Source organism: Homo sapiens, chromosome 2, assembly GCF_000001405.40.
Source record: "Homo sapiens chromosome 2, GRCh38.p14 Primary Assembly".
NCBI lineage: Eukaryota > Metazoa > Chordata > Mammalia > Primates > Hominidae > Homo > Homo sapiens.
This window is the reverse complement of record NC_000002.12, coordinates 177,225,480-177,248,240: the sequence shown is the minus strand read 5'-3', so window position 1 is coordinate 177,248,240 and position 22,761 is coordinate 177,225,480. Positions and strand designations below refer to the sequence as shown.

Here is a 22,761-nt window from a genome sequence, read left to right as displayed (position 1 = left end):
AAATCTAATTTGTGTTAGGTTGACCAGGTGACAACCACCCACCCCTGGATTCTGCTCAGTTAGGTCAGACCTGGGGCCAGTTGCCCATTTAGCATCTCAGGCCTCAGGATCCTCATTTATAAACCTGGGGTTTGAACTGCGGTCTCCACGATCACTGTCAGCTCTCCTTAGTCAGTTGGTTGTTCTAAATGTAGTTTAGTGGCCAGTAAACACCTGTTCCTGAGTGATACATCTTTAAGGAGCCGGTAGATGGGTCAACCTGGCTGGACTTGCTTTTTCAAGTCTGCCTTGTCTATTAGAAAGGCTGAGCTTACTGATTTTGCCTGTCACGTTTGAGTGTTCCTGAGACTTTGCCCAGCCTCGGTCTTATCTGCGGGTACCCCAGCCTCTGCATTCCTTGCCCCTACAAAATGTGCTGCCAGTTCCAAAGGCACAAATGAAAATTAGCTTGGCTGGAGCATGGCTAGGCACACACCAGTGGTTAAAGAAATGCTGTTTGCTGGCTGACACTTCTGGAGTGGAAGTTTATTCTTTTTTCTTTTTTTTTTTTTTTTTTGCGGGGTGGGGCAGAGTTTTGCTCTTGTTGCCCAGGTTGGAGTGCAATGGCACGATCTCGGCTTGGAGCGATCTTGGGTCACCATAACCTCCGCCTCCTGGGTTCAAGCGATTCTCTTGCCTCAGCCTCTGGAGTAGCTGAGATTATAGGCTCCCGCTACCACGCCCGGCTAATTTTTTGTATTTTTAGTAGAGACAGGGTTTCACCATGTTGGCCAGGCTGGTCTTGAACTCCTGACCTTACGATCCACCTGCCTCGGCCTCCCAAAGTGCTGGGATTACAGGCTTGAGCCACGGCGCCCGGCCTTTATTCCTTTCTTTGGCCTCAATTTTATTGTTAAGAGATAGTGGGAAGGGCCCAATTTTGAAATGATCCTGGAATTAATGTAGGAGGCCTTGTATAAGCAGTTAATGTGTATTTATTGAGTGGGTACCCTGTGCCAATATGATACAAGGTGTGAAGGACACATGAGTTGGGAAAGGCATGGGGAAATGCACGCTCACACTGCTGGTGCGAGTGTAAAAGGTACAGTCTCTATGTAGGGCTATTTGGCAGTATATACTCTTTGACCCAGCAACTCCACTTTTAAGTATTTATCTTAGGGATACCCTCACACATTTATGAAATGATTTATATACAAGGATATTCATTATAGCAATATTTGTAATGGCAAAAAGAAACAAAAGTCAGATGGGGGACTGATTAAATAATTATGTTATTAAGTAATACTGTTTCAGTACATCTGTGTAATGAAATAATGTCCAGTCATTAAAAATAGTGAGGCAAAGTCTGGGTGCAGTGGCTCACGCCTGTAATCCCAGCACCTTGGGAGGCTGAAGCCGGAGGATTGCTTGAGACCAGCCTGGGCAACATAGTGAGACCCTGTCTGTACAAAAAAAAAAAAAAAAAAGTAAAATATTAGCCAGGCATAGTGGCACATGCCTGTAATCTCAGCTATTCAGGAGGCTGAGGTGGGAAGATTGCTTGAGCCCAGGAGGTTGAGGCTGCAGTGAGCTGTGATTCTGCCACTGCACTCCAGCCTGGGCAACAGAACAAGACCCTATCTTAGAAAAAAAGAAAAAAAAGAAAAAGGGACAACTTACAACTCTGTGCCCTGATGTAGAACCATCTCCAAAATATATTAAATGAGTGTGGGATACTATGCTTATATGCGATTGTGTGTATTTAATGGCTTCCTAAGAAAACAAAAAAAAACCTGATACTAGTGATTGCCTTGGAGGAGGGTAACTGGGAAATTACTTTTGCAACTTTTAAATCTTATACCATGTACACCTGGTATCTATTTTTAAAAAGCCATTTTCATGCCCTAAATGAGTTTAGTCAGACCATAGTAAGAAAATCCTGTAAGACATACAAAGTATGGGGTAATTACTGGCTTTATGGGAAGACTGATTTCAATGCAAAACTCTCCCTATGCAAGGGAGTTGTCCTGATTTCAATGCTAAGCTCTCTTTAGGCAAGTTACGTTGGCCTGATTTGCCTGTTAAGTCGTATGGGGCAGGCAAGTCTGAGTGTCCAGAGGGCAGACCTTTAACTCTTAGTTTCCTGCCTTGGGAGAAGGCACAGGGCTAAAGTGGTTTCCAGAACGTGTCTGTTGTGGTGTGAACACCAAGGAGCAGTGGACAAGCTTCCCAGGCTCAAGGTCAGAAGGTCTGGACTGGAGTCCTGCCTCTGCTACTTGGTGAATATGTGATTTGGGGCAGGTTGCTTAATCCCCGAAGCCTCAACGTGTTCATCTAGAAATGAAGATTACAGGCTGGACGCAGTGGCTCATGCCTGTAATCCCAGCACTTTGGGAGGCTGAGGCAGGCAGATCATCTGAGGTCAGGAGTTCGAGACCAGCTTGGCCAACATGGCAAAACCCCATCCCTACTAAAAATACAAAAATTAGCTGGGCATGGTGGCAGGTGCCTGTAATCCCAACTACTCGGGAGGCTGAGGCAGGAGAATCACTTCAACCCAGGAGGTGGAGGTTGCAGTGAGCTGAGATTGTGCCACTGCACTCCAGCCTAGGCAACAGAGTGAGACTCTGTCTCAAAAAAAAAAAAGACTACAATACCTGGCCCAACTCCCTCATGCTACTGTAGTGAGGCTCAAATGAGATAGCACCCATGAACACTCCTGTAAACCATGAAGTATGCAAACACCAGGTGTAATAGAAGCTGTTAGGTACCTGTGAGGCCAGCAGACAAGAGCAAGAGATGCTAATTTAAAAAGAATTAAGGTGAAGCAAAGATCTTTTCCCTCTGCCAAATAACTTGGCAAGAGTTGTAAAATTAGAAAAGTAGACCCTTAGTAGTTTGATAATCCTTTGACCTCTGACCCTGCACAAATGATCTCACCCTTTAGACCTGTTCCCTTATTTGCAAAACAAGAGGGGCTGTCTGGGTGATTCCTGTGGTCCCTTCCAGTTGTAGCGTTCCGTGACAGTGTGGCATTAACAGTAATTCCCATCTTGGCTGAGATGGATGAGTCATACTAACTGAAAAGTCAAAATACGAGGAAGAAGTCTCTTTATGTATGAGAATTTTCCTTGAGCTAGAGACTCAGAGCCTCTTGGGGAGGAGATGAGGGAAAACATTGCCACCACCAAGAAGGGAGACGAAGGATGTATAAAGAGAATGGAGATGTATTTACTTTTTTTTTTTTTTTTTTTTTTTTGAGACAGAGTCTCACTCTGTCCTTCTGGCTGGAGTGCAGTGGCACGATCTTGGGTTACTGCAATCTCCACCTCCCAGGTTCACGCCATTCTCCTGCCTCAGCCTCCCAAGTAGCTGGGACACAGGCGCCCACCACCACGCCCAGCTAATTTTTTGTGTTTTTAGTAGAGATGGGGTTTCACCGTTAGCCAGGATGGTCTCCATCTCCTGACCTCGTGATCCGCCCGCCTCGGCCTCCCAAAGTGCTGGGATTACAGGCGTGTGCCACCGCACCCAGCCGAGATTATTTACTTCTTGTGTGTTCTTGCCATCTCCATAGCCTCCTTTGCTTTCAAATGCCCACTTGGGCTGGGCCTTTGGAAAATAGATTTAACCCTTGTTTATTGGAAGGATATTCACACAGTAGGCCAGTTATACACTTTGTGGCAGTCGTTACCTCTTCTGTGAGGTCTTTCTGTGCAGATTTAGTGGCACCTCCTCCATGCTGCCTGGGCTTCTACTTGCTTCTCATCACTTTGTCTCATAACTCAGATCAGAGACTGTGTCTTACTCATCTTTGTATCCCTGGCATCTGAGGGGGTGGTATCTGATGGGTAGATGGATTAGTGATCCACTTAGGGTATTTACACTAATCTTGTTGATCTTGACTACTACCTTTATAACCACCACCATTCTACAAGTTTTAACTTTTTTTTTTTTTTGAGACAGAGTTTTGCTCTTGTCACCCAGGCTGGAGTGCAATGGCGCGATCTTGGCTCACTGCAACCTCTGCCTCCCCGGGTTCAAGCGATTCTCCTGCCTCAGCCTCCCGAGTAGCTGGGACTACAGGCACCCGCCACCATGCCTGGCTAATTTTTTTGTATTTTTAGTAGAGACGGGGTTTCACCGTGTTAGCCAGGATGGTCTCAATCTCCTGATCCTGTGATCCACCTACCTCAGCCTCCTAAAGTGCTGGGATTACAGGCGTGAGCCACCGCACCCAGCAAGGATCTTTTTTTTTTTTTTTAAAGCTAAGTGTTTTATACATATAATAATATTGTTAATAAAATGTATCTAAAATTCATACCACCAGCACACAAGGTCTCCGGCTAGCAGCAGTAAATGGCATTTAGTACTTACTTAGCCCCCAAGCCTGGATGACTGACTATACTGACTTATTATTACTTTTAGCTATTTGTAGGTAGTTACATCTGAAAATTGACCAGGCACAGTGGTTCATGCCTGTAATCTCAGCACTTTGGGAGACCAAGGCAGGAGGATCAGTTGGGGCCAAGAATTTGAGACCAGCATGAGTAACATAGCAAGAACCATCTCTACAAAAAATAAAAATTAACCAGGCATGGTGATGCATGCTACTTGGGAGGCCAAGGTGGGAGGATCACTTGAGCCTGGGAATTAGAAGCTGCAGTGAGCTAGGAAGGTGCCACTGCACTCCAGCCTGGGCAACAGAGCAAGACTCTTAATCTCTTTTAAAAAAAAAATCTGAAAAGGACCCCAAGGATTGAACTTTATCTTTACATTTATCTTTACAAATCCAGGATCAAAAGAGAGGGTAAAGGATCACTTGGGGAGTTTAGAAGTGGCAGAAGTATCTGTAGAAGCCTTACGGTGTGAATGTGCTGGATTGTGTGTGCCCACCCTCATGGGGGACTTCCTTGGAGGATGAGGGTACACCAGCATGGGCAGCAAAGCTGTTTGACCTCAAGGTGGAGATCTGAGCCACCTGGTCAGTCCATGCCCAGTTAATTTCTATGGAGGTTTGGTAAAGTAGGTTAGGGAGTTGGATCCAATGTTCCTGAAGTTTCTGTTGGTAATATGGCAGGGGTCGGGTCGGGTGTGGGGAGGGTTGGATCATTCTAAGGGCAGTACAAGACCTAATCCCAAAGGTGAGAAGTTCCTCTCTGTGGAGGACAGCATTTAGAACTCAATACATACATGGCTTGTTCAAAAATGGGGAAGAGATTAGAAAAATTTATCCTAATGTTTGCTTGTCAAACCAAGCCATTCTCTCAGCAAAGTAGTGAAACCCTTACATAAGTCCTTTGAAGCCTAGCAGCAGTATCCTACTCAAACACAAACCACCAAAAAAAAAACAAAAAAAAAACAAAACCTCCTTGGGGACTCAGATGTGAACCTCTCATGGAAAATTCAGTACCATGTGCTTTTTGTAGCAGGTAGGATCACCTGCTGTTTTGGAAATTAACTTTTTTTCTGACATCTTTTTGACCGAACTCTGCATGTGCCTCTTGAGAAAATAATCCAAATTCTTGCTTTCTTCACTTTCCAGTTTTGCTTTATCTTTGCATCATGCTCTGCAGTTTACAGACAAGCATAATGGGTGAGAGTTCCAGTAAATTGGCTGGATCATATTTCTTAGATTGAGTCATGACTGAGGAACTTGTTTGGGAACAGGAAGCAGCCCATGAAAATGGCTGCACATAGTAACCTGCCAGATTGAAGAAACCGGACCACTTTCTAGTGGAAAGATAAAAGGGCAGAAAAATGGTTCTATAACTCAGGGAATGGTAAATTTGTGAACTAGGGTTTTAACTTGTTGAATAATACGTCTTTGTGTGTATTTGGGCTTTTTTATGCTGTTAAAAGTCTCTAGTTATTCAAGATAAGGGAAAGGAAAACTTGGATTCGTGGTAACTGTTGCTACCTCTTAAATGTCTCTGCTGATGTATACAACATGTTGCTAGGCCAGTTATTTTTTTTAAGGCACTGTAGTTACATAGAAATAAACCTGGCAACATTTACACTTGGCCTCGATAGGCTGTAAGGCCCCTTTTGTCTCCAGTATTCTGTGTTTCTGTATTTTAATCACCTACTTTACACTTACTGTAGCAACACAATCAAGATAGCAAATCAGTCTAATAAAACCAAAAGTACTGGAATGTGGGAAATAGAAAGAATGACCTAGAATTCTTGCTGAGAAAACAATTGGTATTGCTATATTCTTGTAATGCAGTGTGAGAGAAGCCAGAGAAGTAAATAGGCAGATACATATCTATGAAATGTAATTAGTCATCAGCAAGATGTATTTTAAAAACACATCTGCTTGGTGTCATTTTGCTTTATCTAATAAGGATTACGACTGCAAGGCAGAGATTTGTAAATGAAGGAGATCTCTGTTGTTTTTGTTTTGTTTTTGCTTTTGTTTTGTTTTAAGACAGGGCTGGAGGGCAGTACATGATCATGGCTCACTGCAACCTTCATCTCCTGGGCTCAAGTGATCCTCCCACATCAGTTTCCCAAGTAGCTGGGACTACAGCAGTGTCTCACCATGTCTGGCTAATTTTTAAATTTTTTTGTAGAGTTGAGGCCTGTGTTGCCCAGGCTGGTCTCAAACTCCTGGGCTCAAGTGATTCTCACACCTCAGCCTCCCAAAGAGCTGGGATTACAGGTGTGAGCCACCGTGCCTGGCTGTTATTTTATCAATTCCTCAAAATTCAAGCATGCCCTCAAATATTTTTGCAGCCTCATATAGCTCTTAATTTGGTTTATATTCATCCAGATGGTAGGATATGATTCATGTTCCACCTGGTTTTCTTCAGAAATACTTAGACAGTGTCTATGGAAAAAAACATTGAACCAGATTTAGCTTTTAGGTAAATAATATAATCACCTGGGAATAATATGAAGAATGAAATGAAAGAAAGAAAAATATAATCAAGTGTAACTTAGACTCTGAATGCTGGTAACTAAGATTTGGATGAAGGAAGGATCTCAGGGGAATAACATTAAAATAAGATTTTTTTTAAATGGAAATACATGATTTTAAGAAGGAATAACTTAAGACATTCCAACTTTATACTACATGAAAGTAAAAAGATCAAGGATCAGTTTTCTCTTTGGAGCAAGGCTCAGTTTCGCTTTCTGTTGAGAGTTAGTAGTGTGTATAATTAATTTTTTTTAACAGTTTATTGATGAAATTTATTTTTAGAAGGAAATCTCCCACCACCTTCCTGTCATTCTCAGGGCAAGATAGAGGGTAGGAGAGGGAAGGGAGACTCGGGGGAATGGGAGGTGCAAGCCTTAATTAGACATTTGAGTGTCTAAAAGATTACTTTTCATTTCAAATACTTTGTCTCAGTTTACTGAATAGCTTTAATTTAGGACAGGGATTGTATTATCTTTGCTTTATCTTTTCCAATATTTTGGATCATCTAAGCATGATAGATGCTGGTTTATTCAAGGCACTAAAATTGACTTGCAAAAGACATATTTAATATGGATTCTGTGTTCAAGTCCTTTCTTCTTTGTTTATCCTGGTACAAAGATGTTTGTTTTAAAGTGGTATGAGTTAATTGTCCAACTTCAGATTTCCCTAAAATGTGTAACAGATTACCCAGTTGGCAAATGATGATATATATTTTTTAAACATGAATATTTCTGTTAGGCCAGATGGTGATTTAACATGAATTGTCCAACATTTGTGTTTCTTATCAAATTGTCTTCTTTTGTCTAAGCCAAGCTAGCAACATAATTTGGAACACACTCAGGAATCACTAAAGGACAAGAGCAAAAAAAATTCAGACACCAAGTGGCAGACGGCATTTGCTCCATATGCCATGCAAAGGCTCCTGGCCAGTGCTCGCATGGCCCTTGGGAAGCTTTCTCACCCGTTGTAAGAAAGTATCTGTGCAGTGCTGTGCAACCCATCTACCTGCTTTCCTCTCTCTACCCAAACCCTACTTATCTAACACTTTGTACTGTGGCCTTCCTCCATGGGGGACTTGCACTTCCTCAAAGCCCTGGATTTCTGTGCAGAAGAGCAGTTTTAGTTCTTCCTTAGGCACTTCCCTTTCCTCCTGTCCAGTGTCATGTTCTTGTTTGTTATGGGCTCCACCCAGACGATTATTTCCTCTTAGATGATGTGTGAGCCTTGCAGAGAGCTGGGTCATTTGTGGAATAAATCATGTGCCCAGTCACACGGCTCCTTACAGGAAATGGTTGGTGCATATTAGCTTAGCACAAAATACAGTAGTGAGCTTGTGGTCCCCAACAGTGAGTCTTCAGTTAACTTCTGCTGTTTTTTTTTTTTTTTTTTTAACATAAAGCTTTGAATGTTTCATACAGTATCAAATCTCTGCAGGATTTTGCCTGCTGAAACAGATGTGAAAATCTGAGTAGCACAGAGTATGACATTAAGGCCATAACAATAAACCTATTGTTGCTGCATTCTAAATTTGATCAAGATGTCTGTTTTTGGGAATCCAAAATAGTTGCTTCAAATTTAGCTTTTTTCTTTTATGAAGCAGTTTTGTTTTGTTTTGTTTTGAGACCTCTCATAGCAAGAAAAAACATTACATAAACTTTTTTTTGAGACAAGGTCTCACTTTGTTACCCAGGCTGGAGTGCAGTGGCACGATCTTGGCTCACTGCAGCCTCGACCTCCTGGGCTCAAGCAGTCCTCCCACCTTAGTCCCCCACGTAGCTGGGACTACAGGCACATGCCACCACGCCCGGCTAATTTTTGTATTTTTAGTAGAGACAGGGTTTCACCATGTTGCCCAGGCTGGTCTCGAACTCCTGAGCACAAGCGATCTGCCCGCCTCGGCCTCCCAAAGTGCTAAGATTATAGGCGTGAGCCACCATGCCTGGCCACATAAATATAAACTTAAAAATACACAGGAAAACCTTTCAGAACACTTTGAAACCTATTTTGGTCCTATTACGATTGCACTGAATGTCCCCCAGCCTAATGAAGAGCAATTAGATGTCATTTGGTGGCATTCTTGGTGGAGACAGTAAGCTAGGGCCGCAGGAGCTGCTTAGTCTCCCAGGGTCCAGCATTGTTTCAGGTAACGTGAACAGGATGCTCAAGAGCTAGTCTAAATAATGCTTCATGTCTTATTTTTCCTGTTTGTTGATAAGGATTCATAAAGATGTCTTTTTCTGGTCATGTCAAGGGAAATTCAAATAAAAAACATTGAATTGGTTTGGAGCTGTCCATTGAAGGGTACTCACAGCAGGAATTGAGTGGCAATTGAATGTGTGTGTGTGTATGTTTGTAAACATTTATATTAGAGTGTATGCAAATGTATATGGGCGTGCCCACTGCCATCACCATTACCCCCACCAACAGTAACAAAACCACCATCAAGAGCAATATCCACTAAAACTTCTAATTTGCTTATTAATTTGCTTTATTATTTGTAAATAATTCAGAATCTCTGAGATCAAAATCCTTTTTTATTACAACATGTTAATAGTAGTCTAATTCAGACCTGCCCTGAGGAAGAACCAAGCAATGAAGCTGTCCATGATTTTAGAAGTTAATTGGCTCATTCTTTCTGACCATCTAGGTAGTCCCAACATTATTTTAGGCTCCCCCTAGTTAGGTCCACAACCTCATTATTATCCATTGGCCTGGACTTTGGTCTCGCTTATACAGCAAGTAGTAGAGCCTATCACTGTCAACATGTAAACATTTGCATATTTTACATTTATAGAGAGATACTTTTCACGTGCCTCATTTGATCCACTAACATCTGTATGCTTGGGTAGGATGGAATAATTAAACAATGTATAGCTAAAGCCATCCAAACCCCTCAAATATTATCATCTGATGGGAAGGAAAAGGGGGGGAAAGGAAATTAAATAGTTATTTCAATTCTTGGCATGATTGACACTGACAATTATAAATTCCATTCAATATTTTCTTCCAGCTCATGAGGGTTGGTTGTAAGGATACTTTGCAAGTCAGATTTATGAGCAGAAGATGTTTGCAACCTAAATTGCTTCAGTTGCATGAAAAAGTCACAACCTTTTACTGATTTTTATCCTGGGATCTCCTTAACAAGAAAAAACCTCAGGCCCAGGAAGTCTAGGGTGAGGCAGGGATGTGTCAAAGTACACTTTTCCCCACGTACAGGGACAAGTATTTGAGTTTCTTTGATTGACTTTGCAAAGAGCTTTGCACACTTTGCACATCACTTCTTGAGATGGGTGGGAACATGGACTGCCTATTTTACAGAGTTCAATTAAGATCGCAGGATCATGCATTCCTTTCATTTTTGGTGCTAGTACCTAGAAGATGGGAACATATTGAACACTTAATACCTTGCTTGGGCAGATAGCTCCAGTTTGCAGAAAGTCTAGACAGGATACCCTGCTATGTATCTAGATTTACTGAGAAGAAGCGGCCCAAGCTAATCAGAATTTTAAAGTAGGTTTCTCAGCTGGGCGTGGTGGCTCACACCTGTAATCCCAGCACTTTGGGAGGCCGAGGCAGGCAGATCACTTGAGGTCAGGGGTTCGAGACCAGCCTGGCCAACATGGCGAAATCCTGTCTCTACTAAAAATAGAAAAATTAGCCGGGCATGGTGGCACGCACCTGTAATCCCAGCTATTCAGGAGGCTGAGGTGAGAGAACTGCTTGAACCCTGGAGGCGGAAGTTGCAGTGAGCTGAGATTGTGCCACTGCACTCCAGCCTGGGCGACAGAGCGAGACTCCGTCTCAAAAAAAAATAAAATAAAGTAGGTTTCTCTATACCTTTGAATTTTCTGTCTCCCATGATAACCTTTGGGTAAACATGTCCATCAGAATGGAAACAAATCATTTTTTAAAATAGAAATTATTCTCATACCTATTTTAGTGGGAATCCCCCTGAGAAGATAGCCATGTATAGTCGACTGAATGCTCTGTGGTTGCTATTTTGTTGCTCTTGGCCAGGAAACTGATCTAGGTGACCTACAGACTTAATCTGACCTGCAGACTGGCCGCTTCATACTACCAAGATTCCAAAGCCAAGTGTATATACAGTCGGCCCATGCAGCCTCTGGTTCCATGATGCAACCAATGGCAGATTGGTTCAAAAATATTTGGAAAAAGGCCAAGCACAGTGGAGTGGTTCATGCCTGTAATCCTAGCACTTTGGGAAGCTGAGGCAGGAAAATCAATGGAGCCCGGGAATTCAAGACCAGCCTGGGCAAAATGGCAAGACGCCATCTCTACAAAAAGTAATTAGCTGGGCTTGGTGGCATGTGCCTGTAGTCCCAGCTACTTGGGAGGCTGAGGTGGGAGGATCACTTGAGCCCAGGTGAAGGCTGCAGTGAGCCATGATTGCATCACCACACTCCAGCCTGGGTGACAGAGTGAGACCCTATCTCAAAATGAGTAAATAAATAATAAAATTTCAAAAGGAAAAAAGTGGAAAAAAAACCCGAAAAAATAACAATACACACATAAAATACAGTATAACAACTATTTACACAGCATTTACACTTTACTAGGTATTGTAAGTAATCCAGGGATGAGTTAAAGTATATAAAGGGATATGCATAGGTTATTTGCAGCAAATGCCATGCCATTTTATAATAGTGTAGGCTCATGGCTAATAAAGCATGAACCCGACTGAAGCTGCCTGGGTATGTGTCTTTGTTCAGCCACTTTCTGGTAGTATCTTTTTTCTTAACCTCAGTATTCTTATACTGTATAACAGGAATGTTTTCTCTGTATAAGGCTGTTTTGAGGAATAGTTTCTATATGTAAAGTACTTAGAACAGTGCATAGCATATAGGAAGCCCTTAATAGATACTGGCTTAAAGATAATTAGGTATGTCCTAGTGAGGTATACCTAACTACAAGTGCTACTTTAACTATGCCTACTTTGTGTGCTTTACAATATATATTGTTCAAGGCTAGAATAATGAGCCCCATGAGCAGGGTTTCATAGCATTTAAGATTCCAACGCCAACCTTCAATCATGGACACAGGTGGCCTGTGCCATCTAGCTAGCTGCGCTGCCTCCAGGCTGGGTGGCCTGCTCCTCTGTTGGATAAAAATAGCCTGACTCCTCACTGAAACAACCACCATGTTATTTGCGTCCTTGGGAAGCTGAAAGTAATAGAACTCTAAGTCTGGCGTTGCCAGCTGTCAGCAGAATGAAATGCAAAGTGTGACGTGTCTACACTGTACCCACTGGCCTTCAAGTCCCAACTCCCGTTCCCCCATCTTGATTTTTTTCCATTCTCAAATTAATTATTTCCCCTATAGGTGATTTGTGGAATGGAAACAGATTTAGATTTCCTACCTATTTAGATTTTTCCAAAGACTAAAATTACAAATCAGAAAAACTGCTATTGACACATTTTTGGTTAGGAAAATCTGGATGTGGTTCCTATGCCTAGCCTAGTCATATAAATTCTCTCCCCATGTATCTTTTTGTGTGTGTGAAACAGGGTCTTGTCACCCAAGCTGGAGTGCAGTGGTACAATCACAGCTCACCATGGCCTTGACTTCCTGGGCTCAAGCAATCCTCTCACTTCAGTCTCCCTAATAGTTGGGACTACAGGCTCGTATCACCACGTGCAACTAATTTGTTTTGATTTTGGGTAGAAACAGGTGTCACTATGGTGCCCAGGCTAGTAACTCCTGTGCTCCAGCAATCCTCCTGCCTTGGCCTCCCAAACTCCTGGGATTACAGGCCTGAGTCACCAAGCTCAGCCTCTCCTCATCAAAACCATTCCCTCTTTGTAAGATTCTTCCTATGTCTTAAAACTTAATACCTTTAATCCTTCCCTGGAGCCATAGTTTTATTTATTTATTTATTTATTTATGAGACAGGGTCTCACTTTGTTGCCCGGGCTGGAGTGCAGTGACACGATCATAGCTCACTGCTGCCATGACCTCCTGGACTGAAGTGATCCTCCTACCTCAGCCTCCTGAGTAGCTGGGACCACAGGTGTGCGCCACCACACCAGTTGTTGTTGTTGTTGTTTGTTTTTGTTTTGGTAGAAACAGGGTCTCTCCATGTTGCCCAGGCTGGTCGCGAACTCCTGGGCTCAAGCAATCCACCTGCCTCAGCCTCCCAAAGTGCTGGGCTTGTAGGCGTGAGCCACCGCACCTGTCCCTGTCTGCTTTTATTTTATTTTTTTTTGAGATGGAGTCTTGCTCTGTTGCCCAGGCTGGAGTGCAGTGGTGCGATCTCAGCTGACTGCAACCTCTGCCTCCCAGGTTCAAGCCGATTCTCCTGCCTCAGCCTCCTGAGTAGCTGGGATTACAGGCACGTACCACCACACCCGGCTGATTTTTGTATTTTTAGTAGAGACGTGGTTTCACCATGTTGGCCAGGCTGATCTCGAACTCCAGACCTCAGGTGATCCACCCACCTTGGCCTCCCAAAGTGCTGGGATTACAGGCATATAGGTAAGCCACAGAGATAAGAGTAGCAAGCAGTGATGGGGAGAAGATAATCTAGTGTAGGAAAGATGGAAAGAATGGTGATATTTCACAACTGCTAGATTGACACTTTAACTTGAGAGTTATCCCTCTATAAACTGGATATTTGCTGAGCAAAGTTTAAAGAAAACTCCATGTATTCAGTAATGTTTTCCAGACCCCACTTCTCTTATATAAGCCAGTGGCTTAGAGTGCTTGCTCTAATTTCTATATTCCATTAAACAAGGGTGGGATTTCTTCTCATTCAAACCATTTGTGACTTTGCCCTTTAGTGACCTCTACCATCACCCTATCATTAATGATCCAAGTGATTAGAATGGATGGCTATGTGTTTGTAGGTTGTTTGTTGTCTTTAATGAATAGATTCATTGAATGGAATTAACTGTGCTCTTCTAGAACATTGGATCTGTGTTCTCATTTAGATTGTATTTGTAATCTCCCCACTTCCCACCATCAACAGTGGCATAATGTGAATTAATTTATGTGGTATCTGTCATTTAAAAAACATGAGCTCTCTCCTTCCTTTTTTTGTCTTAAACATAGGACATGGATTTGATTGACATACTTTGGAGGCAAGATATAGATCTTGGAGTAAGTCGAGAAGTATTTGACTTCAGTCAGCGACGGAAAGAGTATGAGCTGGAAAAACAGAAAAAACTTGAAAAGGAAAGACAAGAACAACTCCAAAAGGAGCAAGAGAAAGCCTTTTTCGCTCAGTTACAACTAGATGAAGAGACAGGTGAATTTCTCCCAATTCAGCCAGCCCAGCACATCCAGTCAGAAACCAGTGGATCTGCCAACTACTCCCAGGTACAGAGTACTCAGTTCTTGGGAAAGTTATGGCAGGTTTAAGGAAACACTGAGCAAGGAATTAAAATATCTGGATTTGAGTTCCAGCTTTGCCTTTCTTTTACTTAACCTTGTCAAATCTACTTTCCAACCTCAGCCTCCTGATGAGTTCAGTACCTAACCTGAGTTCAGTACCCAACCTATTGATCTTAACAGTGTTATTGTGAGGATTGGGAAGACTTAAGTTACACCAAAGAGTTTTGTAAAGTATAGAAACATCCTGTAAGGATCAAGTAGCAGCAACAGAAGTAGTAGCAGGAGAACCAAGTAGCAGGGATTACTGGCGTTACTGTGTGTGGCAAGCACTGTTTTAAGAACATATACTGACTGATTTAATTAACACAACTATATTAATTAGTTACCATTATCCCTGTTTTATCTACGATGAGCAACTGAAGCTCACAAAGGTTAAATAATTTGCCCAGATCACTCAGAAAATTGGAGGAGCTAAGATCTGAACCCATGTGGTCTAGTTCAAATTGTGCATCAAAGTGATCTCTGAAATAAGATAAATATTTACTTAACTTGATTATAAATATTTTATGAACATCAATTATTGAATATTTAGCTTGGCAATGGAATATTTAACCATTTTTGTTTTCCTTTGTGTCATTCCCTTTTATCAGGTTGCCCACATTCCCAAATCAGATGCTTTGTACTTTGATGACTGCATGCAGCTTTTGGCGCAGACATTCCCGTTTGTAGATGACAATGAGGTGAGGTATAAAATAACCTGGTTAATAGAAAAACTCCATCATAACTATAAAATAACAATCTATTCTATGTAAGTCCCGTCAATGAATCTCCATTTAAAAGAATAAAAACATTTTTAGGAGGAAATTTTTTAACCAAGGAAATACTCTTGTCAAGGAAACCTTAGCCTATAAATAACTTTACAATTAAGAAAAAAAAAAACCCTTCACACAATACAAAACCAAAACCATTGACTATTGCATAGCCAGAAACATGGACAGCATAACCATGGAAACAAATAACCCATTTGCTGCAAGTATCTAAGAGGTTTGGTGAGTAAAGAGCCAGCTGGGCAATAAACGAAGACTTGTTCAGTTAACAATTTTAATAAATCTGTTTTATCTAGTACCACTGTGCTAGATATTATATAAACTAAATCCTAAAGATTGTACTTACGCATTTTAAAGTTTACTTTCAAATGCTTAAGCTGAAACAGACCAGCAAATTATAAATTTGAGTCAGTGGGGTAGGAAAAAAAGATTTGTTATTTACAAACGGGGTCATGACTGGTTAGTAAGTAGAGAGACACAGAACTGCAGCTGATTCCATTTTGTTTTGTAGTGGTGCCTTAGAGCTTACTCATCCCCTGTTGGTGGAAGACTCATAAATCAATGCCTTATCAATTTTAGGTTTCTTCGGCTACGTTTCAGTCACTTGTTCCTGATATTCCCGGTCACATCGAGAGCCCAGTCTTCATTGCTACTAATCAGGCTCAGTCACCTGAAACTTCTGTTGCTCAGGTAGCCCCTGTTGATTTAGACGGTATGCAACAGGACATTGAGCAAGTTTGGGAGGAGCTATTATCCATTCCTGAGTTACAGGTAACTAAAATAGAATGTAATACTGGAGATTTTTTTTATATTCAGTGCCTTTAGTCATTCTGATTATTTATATACCACCTATTTATAGGAAGGATTGGAGGGTGCTATTAACTTAGTCATGAGTACTGCCCATGCTAGTTAAATTGGTTGGACATCTTGAGGATAGAATGTTATAAACCTGACGTCTGATCTGGGAACTCTGAAAATAATACATAACGCTTAGGCGTAAATATGTATTGGAAATGAGAATTATCTCTGAATTATAGATAATAAATTATAGAGATAAGCCTGAAGATAATGTGGGTAGGGAGTTTATCTAAATTTATCACGTATTATCATGGATTAACTTTGATTTATATAGTATAAACTTCCTTCTCATGCAGTGTCTTAATATTGAAAATGACAAGCTGGTTGAGACTACCATGGTTCCAAGTCCAGAAGCCAAACTGACAGAAGTTGACAATTATCATTTTTACTCATCTATACCCTCAATGGAAAAAGAAGTAGGTAACTGTAGTCCACATTTTCTTAATGCTTTTGAGGATTCCTTCAGCAGCATCCTCTCCACAGAAGACCCCAACCAGTTGACAGTGAACTCATTAAATTCAGATGCCACAGTCAACACAGATTTTGGTGATGAATTTTATTCTGCTTTCATAGCTGAGCCCAGTATCAGCAACAGCATGCCCTCACCTGCTACTTTAAGCCATTCACTCTCTGAACTTCTAAATGGGCCCATTGATGTTTCTGATCTATCACTTTGCAAAGCTTTCAACCAAAACCACCCTGAAAGCACAGCAGAATTCAATGATTCTGACTCCGGCATTTCACTAAACACAAGTCCCAGTGTGGCATCACCAGAACACTCAGTGGAATCTTCCAGCTATGGAGACACACTACTTGGCCTCAGTGATTCTGAAGTGGAAGAGCTAGATAGTGCCCCTGGAAGTGTCAAACAGAATGGTCCTAAAACACCAGTACATTCTTCTGGGGATATGGTACAACCCTTGTCACCATCTCAGGGGCAGAGCACTCACGTGCATGATGCCCAATGTGAGAACACACCAGAGAAAGAATTGCCTGTAAGTCCTGGTCATCGGAAAACCCCATTCACAAAAGACAAACATTCAAGCCGCTTGGAGGCTCATCTCACAAGAGATGAACTTAGGGCAAAAGCTCTCCATATCCCATTCCCTGTAGAAAAAATCATTAACCTCCCTGTTGTTGACTTCAACGAAATGATGTCCAAAGAGCAGTTCAATGAAGCTCAACTTGCATTAATTCGGGATATACGTAGGAGGGGTAAGAATAAAGTGGCTGCTCAGAATTGCAGAAAAAGAAAACTGGAAAATATAGTAGAACTAGAGCAAGATTTAGATCATTTGAAAGATGAAAAAGAAAAATTGCTCAAAGAAAAAGGAGAAAATGACAAAAGCCTTCACCTACTGAAAAAACAACTCAGCACCTTATATCTCGAAGTTTTCAGCATGCTACGTGATGAAGATGGAAAACCTTATTCTCCTAGTGAATACTCCCTGCAGCAAACAAGAGATGGCAATGTTTTCCTTGTTCCCAAAAGTAAGAAGCCAGATGTTAAGAAAAACTAGATTTAGGAGGATTTGACCTTTTCTGAGCTAGTTTTTTTGTACTATTATACTAAAAGCTCCTACTGTGATGTGAAATGCTCATACTTTATAAGTAATTCTATGCAAAATCATAGCCAAAACTAGTATAGAAAATAATACGAAACTTTAAAAAGCATTGGAGTGTCAGTATGTTGAATCAGTAGTTTCACTTTAACTGTAAACAATTTCTTAGGACACCATTTGGGCTAGTTTCTGTGTAAGTGTAAATACTACAAAAACTTATTTATACTGTTCTTATGTCATTTGTTATATTCATAGATTTATATGATGATATGACATCTGGCTAAAAAGAAATTATTGCAAAACTAACCACTATGTACTTTTTTATAAATACTGTATGGACAAAAAATGGCATTTTTTATATTAAATTGTTTAGCTCTGGCAAAAAAAAAAAATTTTAAGAGCTGGTACTAATAAAGGATTATTATGACTGTTAAATTATTTGTTTGGGATTCCTTTGAGTTTATTCACACAGTATTTTCCATAAGATAATCATCCATTTAATTTAGATGTTTTGCATTTTCAGAATGTTTTATTTGAAAATATAAAAATAATTTTATACTACATTTCTAGTACCAGGGTTACAGAGAAATAAAGTATATCAAGAGGATACTTTGCCTCTTCAATAGCAGGTACATCTAAACCCAAGAAAATGTTACACACTGACATGAAAGCACTGATTCATTTATTTCCATCAGTAGACATACGCCCACTATACCCTAGGCAGAGTTTGAAGTAGAAAGGACAAAACCAATATCCCTGCCTGGCCTGGAACTTGCATTCTAGCGAAGGGGAGGTAACAAGCATACTCCACTATGTTAGAAGGAACTGGACGGGGAAAACCAGTAAAAAGCGTCACAACTTAAGGCTGTAAATGGGAAGAGCCTTACTGAAGTGGCAACATTTGAAGGTGTGGGAGAAGCTGTTCTCATAGCCAAGAACACTGCAGACAAGACACAGCAGGTCCAAAGGCTGAACCACATTTGAGAAAAAACAAGGACAATGTGGCTGAAGAAAGGGATGGGGGTGGAATATGACAGAGCCTCGTAAGTCTACGTAAGTGAGGTGGGGCGCTAATGGTGCTGTTCAGGAGTAACACTCAACTGTTTTTTTAAAGTTCCCTCTGGGGTTTGTGACTGCTGGCAGTGGCTGCCTAGCTTTCTGGTAAAGGAGTGTAGTTAGTGGCAGGTGGCTGTACCAATCCAGATGGAGGTGAAAGAAGCTGAGCTGCAGCCACGGTCAGTACAGTGGTGGCAGCTGGACTGGCCATTTCTGCTGCAGGTTTTGCAAGTCAGGAAGCACATATAGCCTGAAGTAAAACAGGATTTTCAAAGTCTACCAAAATCTGCCTTCAGCGGTGGCTATTAGAGAGGTGGGCTTGAACTAAAAAGGACAAAATGGGAAGCAGCAATACTACCTCTAAGCCTTACTGCCATTAAAGGAAAAATAAGAGATGCTCAGTAACAAATATGATCTTAAATCGCCCAAAGAAGGATCTCCTTATATAGCAACCCAAATCAATGAAGCTAAGGATTTACTACGTCAAGCTCAAAAATGAAATCAATGTATGATGAATTTTAGGTTCCTACTACTTTTTATGTGTATGAGTATCAACTTTCTATAAAATGCCTCAGAGCTACAACTTTTAACATTTCCTCTGGCTTGTGTGTTGAGAACAGTATAGAGGGTAAGGATGGGAGTAGAAAACCAATTGAGAGGTTCATGCATTATGATGGCAGCTTGGTCTAGAGTGATAGAAGAGGGGTAGTCAGGGACATTGGATTCTGCCATGTCTCAGAGAACTAAAAGGATTTTCTGGTAGAATGGATGTGAGTCAAGAAGTTTAACATCTTTAAGAATTGAGTTGTCTGAGGATGGAGAAGACTGGATAGAGGGAGACCCACGTGGGAAAATCAGTTCCTTTTTGGACATACCGAGAGATCTATTAGACGTTAACTAGAGTGTACAAAAACAAGTCCCCTCAAAACCCTTTGAAAATCTGCATGCTTTCCAACGAGCCATTCAGTTATCGATTATTTCTTCACCTAAGCAGGTTTCACTTGTTCATATTGTTTTGCCTTTTTAAAGTGAGGAAATGGAGATTCATTAAGTATGTTTAAAATAAGCACTGCATGTGTAACTATTCAGTGAAGACTCCTAGCAACACTGCATGGGCTTGCTGCTAATTCCTAGAATGGCGTTTAGCAACTCACTTTAGCACTTTTTTTTTTTTTTTTTTTTGAGACAGAGTCTCGCTCTGTCACCCAGGCTGGAGTGCATTGGCGCTGTCTCGGCTCACTGCAAGCTCCACCTCCCGGGTTCACGCCATTCTCCTGCCTCCTCTTAAGCATATTTTCTCATCTATAAAGCAGAGTGGTACTCAGTGGGTCACCCCACAAAAAGCACTGCGCCTAGCTCATAGTAAACATTGCATAAATGATGGGTGTTTTGTCAATTTCCTTTGGTCTTGTATTATGCTTTTTGGCTACAAGTGAATCCAGTCAAATTAGCTTACTAGAGAATTTCACTGTTAAAGTTCAGGATTGAAAATGACTTCAAGGACTAATGAATCTAAGGGTTCAAATGTGAAGATTTTTTTTTTTTCTTGAGATGGAGTCCCACTCTGTCACCCACGATGGAGTGCAGTGGCACAATCTTGGCTCACTGCAACCCGCACTTCCCAGGTTCAAGTGATTCTCCTGCCTCAGCCTCCCAAGTAGCTGGGATTACAAGTACCTGCCACCCACCTGGTTAAATTTTTTTTTTTTTTTTTTTTTTTTTTGCATTTTTAGTGGAGACAGGGTTTCACCATGTTGACCAGGGTGGTATGGAACTCCTGACCTCAAGTGATCTGCCTGCCTTGGCCTCCCAAAGTGCTAGGATTACACGGGAGCCACCACACCAAGCCAAGTGTGAAGATTTGGGGTCCTGAATATTTTTCACGTGCTATCAAGGAACTTCCTTCCTCTGATGGTGTGGTGATGGGGAATCTCGGGAGAAGACATCACTTTTCCAAACTCAGAACATAATCCCAGGTCTTGAACAAACTGTCTATTCTTAGACCAAATTGTGAGTGCAGAGATGGTGGCAAGAATCTCAGCAGCAGCTATCTGGAGCACCTAACATTGACTGATATTTGAAGGGGGAAGAGCATTGCTGGGCAGACAAAAACAGACATTCTTTGGTAGTAAACTTCAACGTATTCTGACCAATTCATACGAGGGAACTGGCCATAGAAACTTATGGTACCTAAAAATATTACAGTGAAGAATAAAAAATTATTGTGAGAAATTACAAATTTCAAATAACAAATCTCAACTATGCCATGACTAATAAAACCAAGTGTTCATTTCTCTTGATCTGCATTTGAATTGAGAGCTTTATACCTGACTGTCCTCAAATTTGACTATCAAACTGTAATTGCACAACTTTGTATAAAAACCTTTCTTCTTGCCAAGATTTCCCAAGTTCCTGTTTTTGAGGGGAGCGCTGCTCAAATATGTTTGCCATATCTATATTTGTGACTAAGCCTCAGAATATATACAAGATAATTCTCATTCCAATTTAAAGATGATAGCTACCAGGGCACTTTGTTTTCAGTTGATGCTGTTTTGACACTTGAGAACTTGAAAAAAATTAAAGACTAGAAAACTTCAGGGCCGGGTGTGGTGGCTCACGCCTGTAATCCCAGGTGGGAGGCTGAGGCGGGTGGATCACGAGGTCAGGAGATCGAGACCCTGTTCAACACGGTGAAACCCTGTCTCTACTAAAAATACAAAAAATTAGCCGGGCGTGGTGGCGGGCGCCTGTAGTCCCAACTACTCGGAAAGCTGAGGCAGGAGAATGGCGTGGACCCGGGAGGTGGAGCTTGCAGTAAGCAGAGATCGCGCCACTGCATTCCAGCCTGGGAGACAGAGCGAGACTCCGTCTCAAAAAAACAAAAAACAAAAGAAAACTTCAATCCTATGTTGGGGGGTGGGGGAGAAACGCTTAAGACATTGACATAACTTTTATCACCCATTAAAATTTTAGGTATGCTTCAGGATATCCTTGTAAGACAGTATCCAGCATTACCAAGACACTATCTTTAGGGTCCATAAGACAGGTACTAAGTTCTTTAAGCTATTGAATTTAACCTTCTGATTTACTGAAGGGAGGGAATTATAAATCCATTTTACCAAAAAAAAAGTGTGTGTGTGCATGTGTGGAGGTGGGGGGGAGGAAATCAGGTTAAAAACAGGAGTTCTTAACCTGTATAGATTTTAGGTCTGACAATTTTGATGGGAAGAAAGTTTCTTCATTTTTACTAACACATAACATTTCCTTCAATATTCCAGGCAATGAACCACTGGCATTTCACTGTACTTGTCTTAAAGTACAATTTAAACCACATTATCACTTATACATCACAACTTCAATGTTAGAAATCAGACCCACCATCAGACCTAATTTAGTGTTTCAAGTACATTAAGTCATAAACTTATTATTCTGGTAATTATTTTCATGAAACATTTGAGTAATCTCACTTGTATCTCACACCATGTAAAAAATCAACATTCAAGGGGCCTGCTGGCACACCAATCTGCCAGAGCGCACGGGATTAAAAAGGAACCAAGTAACCTGCCCAAGCTCACAAAACTGCTTTTACATTCTGTATTTACATTTCTTACTGATAAACAAAATCTGACACAAGAATCAGAGTAACAAAAACCTACAAATTAAGTTTTCTTTCAGTACCTATTGAGAGAAATAAGACCACTGACTTCAAATAGACAAACCATCAGAATTCTTTTGATACATATATATGTTTTTTTTTTTTTTTTTTGAGATGGAGTCTTGCTCTGTTGCCCGGCTGGAGTGCAGTGGTGTGATCTTGGCTCACTGCAAGCTCCACCTCCTGAGTTCACGCCATTCTCCTGCCTCAGCCTCCCAAGTAGCTGGGACTACAGGTGCCCACCACCACGCTCAGCTAATTTTTGTATTTTTAGTAGAGACGCGGTTTCACCGGGTTAGCCAGGATGGTCTCGAGCTCCTGACCTCGTGATCCACCCGCCTCGGCCTCCCAAAGTGCTAGGATTATAGGTGTGAGCCACTGCACCCAGCCTCTTTTGATGTATTTTAAAGAATGTAAGTTCACTCAGCATTTACTGAACATCATAGTAATACAATTAAAAAATTAAGTTACCTGGAGCCTACAGATACAGCTAAACATTTTACGCAATTCCTTAATGTACGATGACAAGTGCTTTAAGTAATTAGCGGCTAT

General features: G+C 41.3%; 1 protein-coding gene and 1 pseudogene across 8 annotated transcripts in view; both read left to right on the top strand.

Annotated features, from left to right (window-relative positions):
• NFE2L2 (NFE2 like bZIP transcription factor 2) overlaps positions 1 to 17,938 on the top strand; it is a 34,425-nt gene extending 16,487 nt beyond the window's left edge. For 3 of the 8 annotated variants that reach the window (NM_001313900.1, NM_001313901.1, NM_001145412.3), the window contains exons 2-5: positions 13,970 to 14,236; positions 14,902 to 14,991; positions 15,658 to 15,849; positions 16,233 to 17,938. In NM_001313900.1, coding sequence (NP_001300829.1) covers positions 13,973 to 14,236; positions 14,902 to 14,991; positions 15,658 to 15,849; positions 16,233 to 17,456 — 1,770 coding nt within the window. In that variant the 5' untranslated portion in view covers positions 13,970 to 13,972 and the 3' untranslated portion in view covers positions 17,457 to 17,938. The remainder of the gene's footprint in view (positions 1 to 13,969; positions 14,237 to 14,901; positions 14,992 to 15,657; positions 15,850 to 16,232) is intronic. The other 5 variants (NM_001313904.1, NM_001145413.3, NM_001313903.2 and 2 more) reach the window with 5 other exon arrangements.
• Positions 18,721 to 19,144, top strand: DNAJC19P5 (DnaJ heat shock protein family (Hsp40) member C19 pseudogene 5; annotated as a pseudogene).